The sequence below is a fragment of the Homo sapiens genome, chromosome 19 (genome assembly GCF_000001405.40).
Source record: "Homo sapiens chromosome 19, GRCh38.p14 Primary Assembly".
NCBI classification, from domain to species: domain Eukaryota; kingdom Metazoa; phylum Chordata; class Mammalia; order Primates; family Hominidae; genus Homo; species Homo sapiens.
Window position 1 is genome coordinate 38366501 of NC_000019.10, and position 17668 is coordinate 38384168.

At 52.0% G+C, this 17668-nt stretch overlaps 2 protein-coding genes across 3 annotated transcripts in view, besides 2 other annotated features; both read left to right on the forward strand.

The window, feature by feature from the left end:
- Nucleotides 1–4443, forward strand: part of CATSPERG (catsper channel auxiliary subunit gamma) — a 35114-nt gene extending 30671 nt beyond the window's left edge. For both annotated transcript variants that reach the window (NM_021185.5, NM_001330496.2), the window contains 7 exons: nt 656–812; nt 1009–1072; nt 1181–1276; nt 1548–1637; nt 3472–3564; nt 3659–3758; nt 4026–4443. In NM_021185.5, coding sequence (NP_067008.3) covers nt 656–812; nt 1009–1072; nt 1181–1276; nt 1548–1637; nt 3472–3564; nt 3659–3758; nt 4026–4292 — 867 coding nt within the window. In that variant the 3' untranslated portion in view covers nt 4293–4443. The remainder of the gene's footprint in view (nt 1–655; nt 813–1008; nt 1073–1180; nt 1277–1547; nt 1638–3471; nt 3565–3658; nt 3759–4025) is intronic.
- Nucleotides 7980–8610: an enhancer, noted in NCBI's record as "H3K27ac hESC enhancer chr19:38865120-38865750 (GRCh37/hg19 assembly coordinates)". NCBI's record gives its function as "activates a minimal SCP1, AML or CMV promoter by ChIP-STARR-seq in primed H9 embryonic stem cells {active_cell/tissue: H9 hESC(primed)}" and the evidence as "EXISTENCE:reporter gene assay evidence [ECO:0000049][PMID:30033119]".
- Nucleotides 8071–17324, forward strand: PSMD8 (proteasome 26S subunit, non-ATPase 8). The gene is made up of 7 exons (NM_002812.5): nt 8071–8461; nt 9660–9732; nt 9852–9954; nt 12740–12905; nt 14399–14499; nt 15617–15728; nt 16753–17324. Exons 1-7 carry the CDS (start codon nt 8102–8104, stop codon nt 16888–16890), a joined length of 1053 nt encoding a protein of 350 aa, NP_002803.2. The 5' UTR covers nt 8071–8101; the 3' UTR covers nt 16891–17324.
- Nucleotides 8241–8380: an enhancer, noted in NCBI's record as "active region_14571". NCBI's record gives its function as "activates an Ori minimal core promoter by ATAC-STARR-seq in GM12878 lymphoblastoid cells {active_cell/tissue: GM12878}" and the evidence as "EXISTENCE:reporter gene assay evidence [ECO:0000049][PMID:35858748]".
- Nucleotides 17325–17668: the final 344 nt, after the last annotated feature.

Here is a 17668-nt window from a genome sequence, read left to right on the forward strand (position 1 = left end):
GTATGTGAGCTGGCTCCTCGGGAGGGCTCTAAGCAGAGGAGGGACTCGGGTGTCCCCAGGGCCCATCTGGCTGCATGGGGTGGGGGGACATCAATGAGGGGACTGGAAGCAGGGAGACTCTGGAAGAGACAAGGTTGGACAAAACAGGGTGGGGGCAAAGGAGTTGGAGGTTTAGGGGAGAGAACAGGCAGGCTCTCGGTCTTTTTTTTTTTTTTTTTGAGACAGAGTCCTGCTCTGTCACCCAGGCTGGAGTGCAGTGGTGCAGTCTTGGCCTCTACCTCCCTGGTTCAAGCGATTCTCCAGCCTCTGCCTCCCGAGTAGCTGGGATTACAGGCATGCACCACCACACACCCAGCTAATTTTTTGTATTTTTAGTAGAGACAGGGTTTTACTGTGCTGGCCAGGCTAGTCTCGAACTCCTGGACTCAAGTGATCAGCCCGCCTCGGCCTCCCGAAGTTCTGGGATTACAGGCATGAGCCACTGCACCAGGCCGTGTTAATGATATTAATGACCATATTGCCCTTGGGGGTGAGGGAGAGCCAGGCAGCTGGTGGTGGTGTTTGTGGGAGGGGGACTGTCCTTCCTGCCCCTTACCCCTCCAGGGGCCTGAGGAGACCCTGGCCACCCCTGTGAGCCTTTTTTCCTCCCACCGAGGGCAACCTGATGGTGCCAGTGTTCATTGGCTGCCCCCCAGGCAAGCGCCTGGCCTTCGACATCACCTACACGCTGGAATACAGCCGCCTGAAGAACAAACACTACTTTGACTGCGTTAACGTGAACCCGGAGATGCCCTGCTTTCTCTTCCGGGACAGTGTGTGTCCAGTCCCTTCCCCTGCACAGTTCACTGCCCTCTTGCCCCCACTACTTTGTGCTCTCCCTCCCCATTCCTCTCCCCGCAGACTACCCACCCTTTTTCCTGCGGCATCTCACTTTCCCCCGTCTCGGTCCTCAGCTTCTCGGGCCAAGCTAATTTCTTCTTCTGGTCTCAATCCCCTCCAACCCCATAGTTTTCTACCCCTTCTTCTTGATTCAAGATTTGGTGACAGGAGACTCCGGCAGTTTCCAGGGCAGGTAAAGGCGTGGCCAGCTTGCAGCTAGGGCAGGTGGAGGGAGTGGAAGGAGATGGGTGCAGGACTCGAGACCCGGAGGCCAGTCTGTGTGCACTTCTGTCCCTGGTAGCTATGTTCTGCTGGTGGTGGGTGGCGGGCCCACACTGGACAGCCTCAAGGACTACAGTGAGGACGAAATCTACCGCTTCAACAGCCCCCTGGACAAGTAATCCCCGTGGGGTCCCACGTGTAATCCACCTTGCTTCCCCTGGAGGCCTTTCCCACTTCCAAGCCAAGCCCACCTCGCAAGCCCCCACCTCTGCGTCTCAGGCCCTGCCCACAGTGGGGCTCTTAGGATCTCACAGGCAAACTCCTGCCCGCCCCTAACACCATGTCCCCTGCACCCACCTGTGGCCTCCCTCCACACTGACCACTGAGGTCATACCTCCCCTACACCGCCCCCCAACCCCTGGCTGAGATGACCTGGGCCTGCACAGGACCAACAGCCTTATCTGGACCACGAGGACCACAAGGACCACCAAAGACTCAGCCTTTCACATCATGTCCCACGAGAGCCCAGGCATCGAGTGAGTGCGTAGCCTGGCCCCTCTTGGCCCCCATCTGTCGGTAGTCCATTGGGCCCACCTATCCTTTCTGCCCCTAGGAGGCCTCTTGATCCCCAAGTCACACTGACTGCCTTTGTGTTACTTAAATGGGGCTGAACTTTGCACAAGCTGAAGTCTCTGCCTGGAATGCTGCTCCCTCCGACTCTTTTCAGGCCTTAGGCAGATGCCCCTTCAGCCAGGAGGACTTTTCTGTTTCAAGATGGGACAATTGTCCCTTCATGGCTCCTATGGCCTCTTGGGGCTCTCCCATCCTGGCCCTGAGCCCCCTACCTGTGCGTCCCCATCCCAGAGTGGACAGCTCTGGGCAGTCACTGTCTGGTGTGGGGTCTGTCTCTCCTCCAGAACTGGGTCCTGAATAGACTCATAAATTTGTTTTTATTTTTGAGATGGAGTTTTGCTCTTTGTTGCCCAGGCTGGAATGCAGTGGCAAGATCTCAGCTCACTGCAACCTCCACCTTCCAGGTTCAAGCGATTCTCCTGTCTCAGCCTCCTGTTTATTTTTTGAGACAGGCTCCCTCTGTGGCCCACCAGGCTGGAGTGCAGTGGCACAATCTCAGCTCACTGCAGCCTCTGCCTCCTGGGTTCAAGCAATTCTCCTGCCTCAGCCTCCCAAGTAGCTGGGATTACAGGCACCCGCCACCATGCCTGGCTAATTTTTGTATTTTTAGTAGGGATGGGGTTTCACCACGTTGGTCAGGCTGATCTTGAACTCCTGACCTCAGGTGATCCGCCTGCCTCAGCCTCCCAAAGTACTGGGATTACAGGCACATGCCACCATGCCCGGTTAATTTTTGTATTTTTTTTTCTAGTAGAGACGGGGTTTCACCATGTTGGCCAGGCTGGTTAACATAGCATGTATTGAATGAAAGAATGAACAAATGAATAAATCAATTCGTGGCAGGCATTTATTGATATCTGAATGGGGGTATTAATGAATGAATAAAACAATGGAGAAACAAATTCATATATAGGGGCTCAGTAAGTTTCATTCAATGAAAGGAAAAAAATGAAGCCATGAGCAAATGAAGGCAGTGAATGAACGAACAACTTGCACCTAGTCAGAATTTAACCTGCTTTATTTTTTATTTTTATTTATTTTTTTGAGACAGAGTCTTGCTCCGTCACCCAGGCTGGAGTGCAGTAGTACAATCTCAGCTCACTGCAACCTCTGCCTCTTGGGTTCAAGTAATTCTCCCAACTCAGCCTCCTGTGTAGCTGGGATTACAGGTGCATGCCACCATGCCCCGCTAATTTTTGTATTTTTTGTAGAGACGGGGTTTCACCATATTGGTCAGTCTGGTCTTGAACTCCTGACCTCAAGTGATCCACCTGCCTCGGCCTCCCAAAGTGCTGGTATTATAGGTGTGAACCACTATGCCTGGCCTAACCTGCATTTATTGGATAATGAATAAAGAAGGGAATAAATGAAAGATGTGACTTTGTACCTAGTAAGTGCTCAAGCTATATTTATGGGATAAAGGAATGCAAGCAGCAAAGAATGAATAAGGATTTGGCATATGATAGATACACAGCCTGTAATCTGGATGGATGCACAGTGACAGAGGAATTGACAGATGGAGGTGTGAAGGCAGGAGGAAATGAATGAGTAGACAACCTGTGGCACAGTAGGCGTTCAGTCAGCATGAATGAATGAGTGAATGAAGGAATGAATGAGGGAAGGCATGAGATTGCACCCATTTGGTCCTCACCGAAAACATTGGGTGGAGGAAGAAATTGGGAGTTGGCACAGACTAGGCATGGTTGGTAGCACAACTGCCTGATCTTTGGCTTGCAGGTGGCTCTGTCTGGAGAATGCCCCATGCTATGACAATGTTCCCCAAGGCATCTTTGCCCCTGAATTCTTCTTCAAGGTGTTGGTGAGCAATAGGTGAGCCAGGCAAGTGGCCCAGGTGCGGGTCAGGGGCTGCCCATGGAATGCCTGGCTTCTCCTCTAATCCTGGATCCCCTCCCAACCCCTGCAGAGGAGTGGACACGAGCACCTACTGCAACTACCAGCTCACCTTCCTGCTGCACATCCACGGGCTGCCACTCAGTCCCAAGCGGGCCCTTTTCATCATCATGGTGAGTGGCTGTCCGGGAGCTGCCCTACTGGGTGGGCAGGGGCCCACGCCTCCATACCTATGCTTGTTATACCTTCGCTCATTCATTCCTTTATTCACTCATCTAGCCATGCTGACTGAACGCCTGCCATGCCACAGGCTGTCTACTCATTCATTTCCTCCTGCTGTCATGCCTCCATCTGTCAATTTCCCTGTCACTGTGGATGCAGATTGTGGACTGTGTACCTTATCATGTGCCAACTCCTTACTCATTCTTTGCTCCCTGCAGGTGTCAGCTAGCGTGTTTGTGGGCCTGGTGATCTTCTACATCGCCTTCTGCCTCCTGTGGCCCCTCGTGGTGAAGGGCTGCACGATGATCCGGTGGAAGATAAACAACCTCATTGCCTCAGAATCCTACTACACCTACGCCTCCATTTCCGGAATCTCGAGCATGCCGTCTCTGAGACATTCCAGGATGGGCTCCATGTTCAGCTCCAGGATGACAGAGGACAGGGCTGAACCCAAGGAAGCCGTGGAGAGACAGTTGATGACCTGAGTGTCCCACCTGCCCCAGCCCCCAGTTACTGTCACGCCTCTCTTATGAGGCCCATCTTGAAGATGCAACCTGTCACCCAGCCCAGGCCTCTCTTTCTGTTTTGCTTGATGTTTACTTCTCGTTCAGACTCAAATAAAGCCTTTTTTCAGGACCAGCAGTGGGCTCTCTTAAAAGCTCGAGTTCAGAAGGTTTGTACCAGCATAGCTGCACATTAAAATATCATAAACCTGGCTGGGCATGGTGGTTCATGCCGGTAATCCCAGCACTTCGGGAGATCGAAGGAGGCAGATCACTTAAGGTCAGGAGTTTGAGACCACCCTGGCCCACATGGTGAAAACTCGTAACCCTGTCTCTACTACAAATACAAAAAATTAGCTGGGCATGGTGGTGCGTACCTGTAATTCCAGCTACTTGGGAAGCTGAGACAGGATAATCCCTTGAACCTGGGAGGCAGAAGTTGCCGTGAGCCAAGATTGCGCCACTGCACTCCAGTCTGGGCAACAGACCAAGACTCCGACTCAACAAAACAAAACAATAAATAAAATATCAAAAACCTTCTAGGCCACCTGTTAAATAGTGGCTTCTCTGTGTGCCTGTTGGCTGAGCCTCTCCCCAGTGTACCCCAGACCTCCCTGTGGTCCAGCAGGATCCTCCACAATCCAGGCCCATTGCTATGGCCGACCATCTGTTCTGATTGTTCAGTGTTAAATATTCTGAATGTCAACACCTATCTAATGTCTTAAGGAGGGGACCCTGGAGACGTCAGGATTCTTATTTTAGTTGCAAGTAGCAAATATTTCCCTCAAATGGTCTACATGAAAATGGTAATTTACAGGCTTCAGGTACAGTTTGATCCAAAGTCCCAAGGTCCACAGGATTCAGCCTTCATTTCTCTGTAGTTTTTTCTTCTCTGTCCTCCTCAGAGTGCAGTCTCTGACCTCAGGACAACTCCCCTCACCATCTGAGGCTAGTTATACAGTCCATAATCTGGATGGATGCGTAGTGACCAATGAATTGACAAGATGGAGGAATGAAGGCAGGAGGAAATAAATGAGTAAAAAAATACCCTGTTGCATGGTAGGCATTTGGTCAGCATTAATAGATGAATGAATGAAGGAGCGAATGAGGAAAGGTATGAGATTGCACCTAGTTGGTGCTCACCCAGAGTGTTGGGTTGGAGGAATACATTGGGGTTGGCATTGACTAGGCATGGTTGGTAGCACAAAAACCTGATGAAATTTGACAATAACAAGAGTTGGCAACACTCATGTGTGTAAGGGCTGCTGGCTAAGGTTGTTTCCACCACCAAGATTCTACCGAGTCACCTCATGGTCCAGGTGAACACATCATAATCCTGTATCAGCCAAGTCAACATGTTATTTAAATATCACCATCTGCACTTCCAGCCAAGATAGAGTGACAGAGACTGGATTTCCCCTCATACTTGAAACTATTTATGTTTTTTGAGATGGAGTCTCGCTCTGTTACCCAGGCTGGAGTGCAGTGGTGTGATCTCGGCTCACTGCAACCTCCGCCTCCTGGGTTCGAGCGATTCTCCTGCCTCAGCCTCCTGAGTAGCTGGGACTACAGACGCATGCCACTATGCCCGGCTAATTTTTTGTATTTTTAGTAGAGACGGGGTTTCACTGTGTTAGCCAGACTGGTCTCCATCTCCTGACCTCGTGATCTGCCCGCCTCAGCCTCCCGAAGTGCTGGGATTACAGGCATGAGCCACCTGGCCTGGCCATATCAACGTGGTATTTTGTTTATTTGTGTCTTTTTCTTTTTTTTTTTGAGATGGAGTTTTGCTCGTTGCCTAGGCTGGAGTGCAATGGTGCGATCTTGGCTCACTGCAACCTCCACCTCCCAAGTTCAAGTGATTCTCCTGCCTCAGCCTCCCGAGTGAGTAACTGGGATTGCAGGCACCCGCCACCATACCTGGATAGATAATTTTTTGTATAGTAGAGACGGAGTTTCACCATGTTGGCTAGGCTGGTCTCAAACTCCTGACCTCAGGTGATCCATCCACTTCAGCCTCCCAAAGTGCTGAGATTACAGACTTGAGCCACCACACCCGGCCATCATTTTTGTTTAAAACATTTTTTACCACCACAACTTCTTTCACATATTAATTTACTCATTAATTCAACACATATATAATTTCTTTCTTTTTCTTTTTTTCTTTTTTCTTTTTTTTTTTTTGAGCACAGTCTCGCTCTGTCACCCAGGCAGGAGTGCAATGGCGATCTCAGTTCACTGCAACCTCTGCCTCCCGGGTTCAAGTGCTTCTCCTGCCTCAGCCTCCCAAGTAGCTGTACTACAGATGTGCACCACCACGCCCGGCAAATTTTTGGTATTTTTACATTTATTTATTTATTTTCTCTGAGACAGAGTCTCACTCTGTCACCCAGGCTGGAGTGCAGCGGCACAATCTCAGCTCACTACAAGCTGACCTCCTGGGTTTAAGCGATTCTCCTGCCTCGGGCTCCTGAGTATCTGGGATTACAGGTGTGTGCCACCACGCACAGCTGGTTTTTTTGTTTTTTTTTTTTGGTATTTGCAGTACAGATGGGGTTTCGCCATGTTGGCCAGGTTGGTCTCGAACTCCTGACCTCAAGTGATCTATCTGCCTCGGCTTCCCAAAGTGCTGGGATTACAGGCATGAGCCACCATGCCTGGCCAACAAATATTTATTGACTGTCTACTAATATTTGCCAAGCACTGAGATACTGGGAATTCAGTAGTGAAGGAAATCGTCCTGCCTTCATGGAGATGACATTCTAAATGGTGGAGACGGAGAGTGAAAGTCGGGTTTGAGAAAAACGTGCTGCCCAGGCGCAGTGGCTCACACCTCTAATCCCAACACTTTGCGAGGTCAAGGCAGGAATATCGCTTGAGCTCAGGAGTTCGAGACCAGCCTGGGCAGTATAATGAGACTCTGTCTCTATAAAAAATTTAATTTTTTTTAAAAAGAGAGAAAAAGCGATGTTGAATGTGCAGATGTAATATCAATCAGTGGAGGAAGAAGTTGGTATAAGAAGTTGTGAATACTGGCCAGGCAAGGTGGCTCATGCCTGTAATCCCAGCATTTCGGGAGGCCAGGGCCCAGGGAATCGCCTGAGTTCAGGAGTTGGAGACCAGCCTGACCAACATCTACTAAAAATACTAAAATTACGTCTCTACTAAAAATACGAAAATTAGCCAGGCGTGGTGGCACATGCTTGTAATCCCAGCTACTTGGGAAGCTGGGGCAGAAGAATCACTTGTACCCAGGAGGCGGAGGATGCAGTGAGCCAAGATTGCTCCATTGCACTCCAGCCTGGACAACAAGAGCTAAACTCCGTCTCAAAAAAAAAAAATTGTGAATCCTCCACTTACACATGACATTGAAAGCCATAGAGCTGGATGAGTTTTGTAACTAGTTAGTTCATATAAGCTTGGGAAAAAAATGTGGAAGGATGCATTGAAAAAGACTGGAGAGGGAGCCCCAGGTACACATCCTAGCTGTTAGTCCTTTGGAAGGTTACCCAGCCTCTCAGTCTGTCTATAAAATGAGAATAACACAGCTCTCCAAATGGCACGACACCCGCTACCTTTTGGCTTGGAGACGCTGCCCCGAAGGCGGAACCTCCAGGACAGCTACGTAGCGTCCCGAGCACTCAGACTGAAGCCAGGGCAGCCATGTTCATTATTGGAACCGTGAGGTGGGTAGGGGGGGTGGTGTTGAGACAGCTGTCATTTTCAGTTAGGGCAAAAGCCAACTTCCGGTCACCATCTTGAGTGACGACAGAGGCGGAGCTCCAACTGACATGTTCATTAAGGGCAGGGCTCCGAGGGCGCCACCTCGAGAGCGACGGCGGGCTACCCGGGGCGGGCTGAGGCAGGTTGTAGCCCCGCCCCGGGCCTTGGGCTCCACCTCTCGGCCCCACTTCCGCCGGGCAAGCGTTTGTAGGCGGCGCTGCCGTAAATCAGGCGGTCTGCTTGCCGCATCACGCAAGATGGCGGCCGCGGCGGTGAACGGGGCGGCAGGCTTCTCGAGCTCCGGGCCCGCGGCAACCTCGGGCGCTGTTCTGCAGGCCGCGACCGGCATGTACGAGCAACTCAAGGGCGAGTGGAACCGTAAAAGCCCCAATCTTAGCAAGTGCGGGGAAGAGCTGGGTCGACTCAAGGTAAAGTCGGCAGGCCCAGGAAACCGAGTGTTGCGGGCGTGGGAGGCGCTACGAGGTGTCTGGACCCAACCAAGTCCCGGGCCGCGGAAGCCACCTCGGTGCCAGCGAGACTGAGGCGGGCTGGGGGATCCGATGGGGTGAAAGATTTGGAACAGCCAAAGTGGGGGCTCGGAGGGCGTCAAGAAGCGAGAGAGGGACAGGGAGCGTTGATGGTCACGCCTGTAATCGCAGCGCTTTGGGAGGCCGAGGCGGGGGAGCGTCGCTTGAGCCCAGGAGTTCAAGATCAGCCTGAGCAACATAGCGAGACTCTGTCTCTACATTTTTTTTTTAAGTGAGAGATGACTGGAATGGACCCACGCGGGGGTGGTGGGGGAATGATTGGAAGACTTATGGCAGAACTGAGTGAGGGGTTAGATTTTTGGTGCGTGGAGGCTTAACTGGTCGGAGTGGCAGGATTGGGATTCGGGCTTTTCCTGATGGTGGATTCCAGGCAAGACCAAGTGGGAAGTGAGGACTGCCCGGAGTGATAAAAGAATGAGGCTGAAAAGGTGGGCTGTGTAGAGGGTGTGTGGTTAAGACCAGGCTGGGTTAGGATCTGAGAGATCTGGGGCTTAGGCTCGCATCTGTTGGGAGAGGGGGCAGCCTAGTTGTGAAGGCAGGACTGAACCTAGAAGAAATATTCTTACAAGTAGAGAACAAGAATACGGGGCCCAGAGTGCTTCAGACCAAACATCTGTTGGGAGGGAGTGTAAATCCAGTGGCTTGGAACAAGCTGCTGAGCCTGCTAAGGAAAGATGTATGGGCTGAACTGTGGGGGGAGATTTGGACCTCCCCCTCCCAGATATAGATTTTGGGGATAGCCCAGCTACCCCTTCCCCAATAGATTGTGGGGAAGATGGGCCAAGAATGGAATGTACTCCTGTCCCCACCGCCGCGTGATTCCACTGGGTCAGGCACTGAGTGTCCCTCCTTGTTTCCCCAGTGGGGCTATTAATAATTGTAATGTGATGTAATCTTAAATGGGCATGTGTTGCGTGCTCAGGCCCTGTTCTGAGTGCTTTATGAGAAAGCATTCCTCATGAGTCTGGATGATGGTTAGCTCCATTTTCCAAGTGGGAAGACCAGAGCGTAGAGCAGGTAAGTCATCTGTATTTGAATTCCCTTCTTTTCTTTCTTCCCTCCCTCCCCTCCCCATCAGCTAGTTCTTCTGGAGCTCAACTTCTTGCCAACCACAGGGACCAAGCTGACCAAACAGCAGCTAATTCTGGCCCGTGAGTGTCACTGGGGTTGGTTGGGGGTGATAATCTGGGGGTCATGGCAGGAATGGTAGCACTGGTGGTTGGGGAAGAGACCTCAGTCACCTCCTGAGAGCTCACTCTGTCACCCACAGGTGACATACTGGAGATCGGGGCCCAATGGAGCATCCTACGCAAGGACATCCCCTCCTTCGAGCGCTACATGGCCCAGCTCAAATGCTACTACTTTGATTACAAGTGAGAATGGGCCCTGCCCCCAACTGGGGGGGTGGTTGCATGGAAGCTCCTTTATTTCTGGAGCTCTGGCTGCTTGGGTCCTCTTCCTTCATCTGGGAACTCCTCCTGGCTTAGTTCTCTCCTCAGTGGTGCAGGGTCAGGGCTTGGCTTGGAGGTCCTGAGACTTGGCTTGACTAGTCAGTCTCCCCCTACCCATTCCCACATTGCACCCCCTCTGCCCAGTGGGGCTGCCATCACCTTTCACGTGTCCTGGCCCCAGCCTTGCCCCTCTGACTCAAACCCCTGTGGCAGCCAGTAGGATCATGTGACACTAAAATTTGACACTGTCCATACCCCGCTCAGAACCTGCCGTGGCTCTTCATGGTCCTCAGGCACAAGACCAAGTTCTTTCCTGTGGCTTCCAATGCAGTTCCAGCTCACACCCCTCTGCCTGTGCCTGCTCATCCCAGCCCTTTCTCTCACTGGACTGTGAGCTTTCTAAAGGCAGAGCTTGGAACTGTCTCAGTTACTGCTATGTCCCTAGCACTGCCTACCACAGGGCCAGGCCCAGAACAGGGACTCACTGGATATGTGTTGAATATAAAACTGAATGATACCTGCACAGATTAATGATTGGGAATTTGACATCAGACAAATCTGGCTTTGAAACATCCAGCCGCTTCCTGATTATGAGGTCTTGGGCAAATGACTTTACCTCTCTCAGTTTCCCTGTTAAAGTAGGGAGTGGTGATTCTTTTATTTATTTATTTTTGGAGACAGGGTCTTGCTGTGTTGCCCAGGCTGGAGTGCAGTGGTGCAGTCATGGCTCACCACAGCCTTGACCTCCTGGGCTCAAGCGGTACTCCTACCTTAGCCTCTCAAGTAGCTAGGGCTACAGGTGCACACCACCACTCCTGGCTCTTTTATTTTAATTTTTTGTAGAGATGGGGGTCTCGCTTTGTTGCCCAGGCTGGTCTCGAACTCCTGGCCACAAGTGATCCTCCTGCCTTGGGCTCCCAGAGTGTTGGGATTACAGGTGTTGAGTCATTGCATCTGACTCCAATAACTTTTTTTTTTTTTGAGACGGAGTTTCACTCTTGTTGCCCAGGCTGGAGTGCAATGGTGCAATCTCGGCTCACCACAACCTCTGCCTCCCGGGTTCAAGCTATTCTCCTGCCTCAGTCTCCCAAGTAGCTGGGATTACAGGCATGCGCCACCACGCCCTGCTAGAGTCCACCCAGGCTAGAGTGCAACGGCTGGATCTCGGTGCACTGCAACCTCCGCCTCCCAGGTTCAAGTGATTCTCCTGCCTCAGCCTCCCTCAGCCTCCTGAGTAGCTGGTATTACAGGTGCCCACGACCACGCCCAGCTAATTTTTGTATTTTTAGTAGAGATGGGGTTTTGCCAGGTTGGCCAGGCTGGTCTTGAACTCCTGACCTCAGGTGATCCACCCGCCTCGGCCTCCCAAAGTGCTTGGATTATAGGCGTGAGCCACCGCGCCCGGCCAGTAACTCTTAATATAGTTATAGCTAACACTTTGTGTTTATTTGGGCCAGGTATTGTTCTAATCACCTTACCTGGGTTGAATCATTTAATTCACTTAACCCTTGTTCATTCAACCCATCTCTACGAAATGGATACTGTGAGGCCGGGCATGATGGCACATGCCTGAAATCCCAGCACTTTGGGAGGCTGAGACAGGAGGATCACTTGAGCCCAAGATTTCCAGACCTGCCTGGCCAACATGGCGAAATCCTGTCTCTACAAAAAATATTGAAAAATTAGCTGGGCAGGCTGGGCATGGTGGCTTACACCTGTAATCCCAGCACTTTGGGAGGCCAAGGTGGGCGGATCATGAGCTTAGGAGGTTGAGACCATCCTGGCTAACACGGTGAAACCCTGTCTCTAAAAGAAAAATACAAAAATTAGCCAGGTGTGGTGGTGGGCGCCTGTAGTCCCAGCTACTCGGGAGGCTGAGGCAGGAGAATGGCATGAACCGAGGAGGCAGAGCCTGCAGTGAGCCAAGATCGGGCCACTGCACTCCAGCCTGGGCGACAGAGCAAGACTCCGTCTCAAAAAAAAAAAAAAAAAAATTAGCTGGGCATGGTGGTGTGCACTTGTAGTCCCAGCTACTTTGGAGTCTGAGGTGGGAGGATGGCTTGAGCGTGGGAAGTTGAGGCTGCAGTGAGCCTGGGTGACAGAGCAAGACCTTGTCTCGGAATTGAAAAAAAAAAAAAGGGCTGGGCGCAGTGGCTCATACCTGTAATCCAAGCACTTTGGGAGGCCGAGGTGGGTGGATCACGAGATCAGGAGTTCGAGACCAGCCTGGCCAGCATAGTGAAACCCCGTCTCTACTAAAAGTACAAAAAATTAGCCGGGCATGGTGGCATGTGCCTGTAGTCCCAGCTACTTGGGAGGCTAAATCAGGAGAATCGCTTGAACCCGGCAAGCGGAGGTTGCAGTGAGCCAAGAACGCACCATTGCACTCCAGCCTGGGCAACAGAGAGAGACTCCTTCTCAAAAAATAAATAAAAGGATACTATGGTGATACCCAGTTTACACTTTGGGAAACCGAGGTTGTCATTTCACTGAAGTGAGGTCACTCGCTCTTGTATGACTCAATATGACTCTTGTAAATGACTTATTCATGCATCTTTGGGACACAGTTTCCTCATATGAAAACCCAGGACCTGATACCTCTTCAGGAAGATGCATGGGGCGTTGTGAGGATTCCTGGAGCCTGGGGTAGAGGGCTCGCTAGGCCCTTAAATCCTCCTTAACCTGCTTCCCCATCCCACGTCCACAGGGAGCAGCTCCCCGAGTCAGCCTATATGCACCAGCTCTTGGGCCTCAACCTCCTCTTCCTGCTGTCCCAGAACCGGGTGGCTGAGTTCCACACGGAGTTGGAGCGGCTGCCTGCCAAGGACATACAGACCAATGTCTACATCAAGCACCCAGTGTCCCTGGAGCAAGTGAGATGGCAAGGGGCAGGGGAGGACCTGGCCAAAGTGGGTGGTGCAGGGGTGGTCTTAGGAGGGCTTTCCTGAAGGAGTGGCCAGGGTTCACCCATCTTTCCACCCACGGACCCATCCTCTTGTTTGTCCAACAAATACTGAGTCCCAGCTGTGTGCCTGGCACTGTGGTAGGTTGTCAGACTGTGCAGTGAGCCAAGCAGGTGAAATTCATGATCTTGTGGTGATGACACTGGGGTGTGGAAGCAGATAGTAAGCCCGAAGAGTGAGTGGCCTGCGCAGTCTGTCAGATGCTGAGTGCTGTGGAGAAAAAGCAGGAAGGAGGGTGGAGAGGCAGGGATGGGTGATATTTATCTCGGGGAGTCAGAAGGCCTCACCTAAAAGGTGAAATTGGAGAAAGACTTGAAAAGGGTGAGGAACTGGCTTATGCCTGTAATCTCAGCACTTTGGGAGGCTGAGGCAGGAGGACTGCTTGAGCCCAGGAGTTCAAGGCTGCAGTGTGCTATGATCACACCACTGTATTCTAGCCTGGGTGACAGTGAGATTCTGTCTCTATTTAGAAAATAAATGAATAAAAACATATTTTTTAAAGAAAAGGGTGGCCGTGCACAGTGGCTCACGCCTGTAATCCCAGCACATTGGGAGGCCGAGGCGGGTGGATCACCTGAGTTCAGGAGTTCGAAACCAGCCTGGCCAACATGGTGAAACCCCGTCTCTATAAAAATACAAAAACTAGCCAGGCGGATGGTGGGTGCCTGTAATCCCAGCTACTCGGGAGGCTGAGGCAGGAGAATCACTTGAACCCAGGAGGTGGAGGTTGCAGTGAGCCAAGATTGTGCCATTGCACTCCAGCCTGGGCAACAGGCTCAAAAAAGAAAAGAAAAGGGTAAGGGACTGAACCCTGTGGACAGCCGGGCAGAGGAACCAGCCAGTCCAAATGTCCTGAGGCAGTACTGTGTCTGCTGTGTTCGAAGGACAGCCAAGAAGACAGTGTTTTTGGAACAAAGTGAGCAGGGCCAGGGCAAAGCCTTAGGACCTAAGGTTAGGAAGTTGTTCCTGGAGCTGACATCTTATGGGAGGATTTGGTCAGTGGGGAGAGGATGGGAGAGAGGGCAGTTAGGGCGGGCAGCACAGTTCGGGCAAAGGTGTACAGGGATGAGCCTGTGGTGGAGCCAGCGCTGTCTCCCTCCTGGAAAATAGATGGATAATTGGACAGTAGATGAGATAATGAGATGCCAGCCCAGAGCAGGCTTGGGGGGAGGGAGGGAGGGAGGAAGAGGGGGTGAGAGAGAGAGAGAGAGAGTGTGTGTGTGTGTGTGTGTGTGCGCATAAACCAGCAAGGGCTTTCTGGAAGAGGGGGTACCCAGGGCAGGGGTGTGGCTGTGTGGCAAAGGGATTACAGGGGCACTAGGAGTGTGATGAGGCCCACACAGGTAGGCCCCTTTGCAGCCTCCTCTTCATTCTCTCTTCTTCCCCCTTCCCGGCTTCTGCAGTACCTGATGGAGGGCAGCTACAACAAAGTGTTCCTGGCCAAGGGTAACATCCCCGCCGAGAGCTACACCTTCTTCATTGACATCCTGCTCGACACTATCAGGTGCGTAGCGGGGCCGGGCCCTGTGGAGTTTGGAAAGAACTTGGGCTTGAGTCGGACAGCTCCGAGTCTGAATCTCATTCCAGCCATTGGTTGTCTGGGTAGGCTAGGTGTGTTTCTTATCCTCCTAGCACCTCAGCTCTCCTTTTCAGTGAATTGGGCCTGGTCATGGGATTGTGGATAACGGCTCTCATCTCACCACCCTTGGCTGTTGACATGTGTGGCCACGTGTGTCAAACCTGAGCATGGAATTGGTTCAGCAGGCAGGGATTGTGCGGCCTGTCTTAGCCCATCTTCCGTCCTAGATACCCATCCAGTGAGTCATGAGACTTCACCTCCGGCCACCAAAACTGTGGAACCCTCAGTTTCTCCTTCTCTAGAATGGGTTGACCAAATCCCAGCAGCCCCTTGGGTTGCCGTGTGCACAAGTGACATCCCACGGGCAGATGGATGTGACATACAAATCCCTTGAGGAGTAAAAGGGTGTCGAAGTGGTGGCTGAGCTGATGCACTCGGGCAGAGCACCAAATCAGAATGAGTTTCCATGCCTTAGGTGCAAAGGCAAGCCCAGAGGCATTCGAGTGAGGAGTGGTAGCCAGTACCCACTACCTACCGCATGGCCTAAGCGATATTGGAGGCACTCCTCCCCATCACTGGCTTTTCCCCAGAGCTTACCCCCTCCCTCACTACAGTGACTTCATGCCTTGCTCTATTTCTACTTCGGTGTTGTTCGTGGTGCCTCTTGATGGGTACAAGGAACCCCCTCAGGATCTATGAAGTGGGGTGCAGCACCCTGGTGATGGGTGTTATGAGAAGAGATGCCCTCATGTGAGTCCCAAGCTGGGTTTCAGACCTGAAATCCTGTGGCTGGGAGTGGGATTCAGAGTGTGGGCCCAGGAGTCAGAGATTTCAGTGGGGATCACCCGTGGCCCTTGCTTGCTTTGCGAGTCTGGTCAAGTTTCTCCCCTTCTGAGCCTTGATGAATAAAACAGGGCCCTTCACATATTCCTGCCATCAGTGCTGAACTCCAGGGTCAGAGCTGACACATGTCAGGTCTGGGGGGACAGGTCCTGGGAGGTTGTTGATGCTCAGTAATGAGGAGCTTCTCATCTTCCCCCAGGGATGAGATCGCTGGGTGCATCGAGAAGGCCTACGAGAAAATCCTTTTCACTGAGGCCACCCGGATCCTCTTCTTCAACACACCCAAAAAGATGACAGACTACGCCAAGAAGGTGGCTGGGGTACAGGGCAAGGGGCCGTGGGACCAAGGGGTGAAGTCACTAACAACAGTGTGGGGTGGCTTAGAGGGACACTGGAACAAGACTGCCCAGGTTTAAGTTCAACTGTGTGACTCTAGGCAAGCTGCCAAAGCTCTCTGACATCAGTTTCTCTATCCACAGAATGGGGCTAGATACATGGGATGAGCTTAGTACCTGGCAGCAGCTGGAGGTGGGCGCTGCACGCATGTTGGCTGCTGTCTTTATCAAAATTTCTTAGAGGTGGCAGCTTTTTCTGCAAGACTTTGCTTCATTTGGTCTCAGGCGTTTGAGCACGAGCAACGCTTGGTGTTGCAGGAGGAGGGCTGGGACCAGGCTATGGAAGGTGAAATTGGGCTGGGTGCAGTGGCTCCCGCGCACCAAGGTGGATCCTCCCACCTAGGCTCACTCTGGGAGGCTGAGGTGGGAGGATCGCCTGAGGTCAGGAGTTCGAGACCAGCCTGGTCAACATGGTGAAACCTCATCTCTACTAAAAAATACAAAAAAAATTAGCCGGATGTGGTGGCGGGTGCCTGTAATCTCAGCTACTCGGGAGGCTGAGGCAGGAGAATTGCTTGAACCCAGGAGGGTGGAGGTTGCAGTGAGCCGAGATCACGCCATTGCACTCCAGCCTGGGTGACAGAGCGAGACTCTGTCTGGGGAAAAAAAAAAAAAAAAGAAGAAGGTGAAATTGAATTTTAGTGATGGTGACAGCTGGTAACTGATCTGTCACTCAGGCCAAACACTATCCTCAGTGCTTTAAAGATGTTGATTCACCAAATCCTCACAGTTGACCCAGAGAGGTGTGTAATTAGGGTCCCAGTCTCAACACAGAGAAACTGAGGCACAGAGAGGTGAAGTTACTTGTCAAGGGTCGTTGGGCAGAGTACGATTGGTGAGAAAAGAGAGCATAGGACACGTGGGCAAGTGCTGGCCCCATAGGGTGGGGATGGAGCCTTTGTGATCACTCTACTCGTCTCTAATCCCTCCTTTCCTGCAGCGAGGGTGGGTCCTGGGCCCCAACAACTACTACAGTTTTGCCAGCCAGCAGCAGAAGCCGGAAGACACCACCATTCCCTCCACAGAACTGGCCAAACAGGTCATCGAGTATGCCCGGCAGCTGGAGATGATCGTCTGAGCCCCCCGGGCACTGGGTGGGGCAGGGCACGAGTTATTTAAAACAGTTACACTGCAGGGTTTCGCCCAATAAAGGTGGACTGACATTCCCTCTTCCAGGCCCTTGTCTCCCCAGTTGGGACGGCAGAGAGACAAGTTCTTATATCTGAAGAACTTGGAGGTTTTGGGGCATTCAGGAGTTGGAGATAGCCTCCAACTGGGTCAGCCTCTGTCTGGTGGGCATTGCTCAGGGTCTCAAACATGGACGCCCACTGTGGGGCCCCAGCAGCACTGTGGCCTGCAGGAGGGCATGGCCCCAGGTAGGGGGACTGTTCTAGCCAGCTGTGGACACATAGGAATGCTGGACCAGGGTACCAGATTTTTTCAACAAAGGGGGTGAAGTGTCCTACTAAAAAGAATAAATGTTGGCAGTGAATTAAACAATTTTTCAAATGACATGTGAAATGGAACCCATCTGTAGGCTGCCAGTTTGGGCTCTTTGTGGAACAAAAGGTGTGGGCCCTGGTGTGGGCTTGTGGGTCCCACCCTCCCTGAGCCAGCATGTGATTGAGGACCTCCCCGCACACCCCCCAGCCTAGGTTTCCTGCCTTGAAATTCTTGGGAAGGTGTTCAAGGCGCAGGGTCCAAATCTGGCTGAATCCCTTGTGGGATGTGGAAATTTCACAAGTCTTCCAGAGTTAGTTTTCCCAACTGTGAAATGGGAATGATCACTCCTTTGCAAAGTGGTTTGTGCTGAGCCTGTGAGCTTGGTACCAGGTTAGCTCAGAATTGGGGCTTAT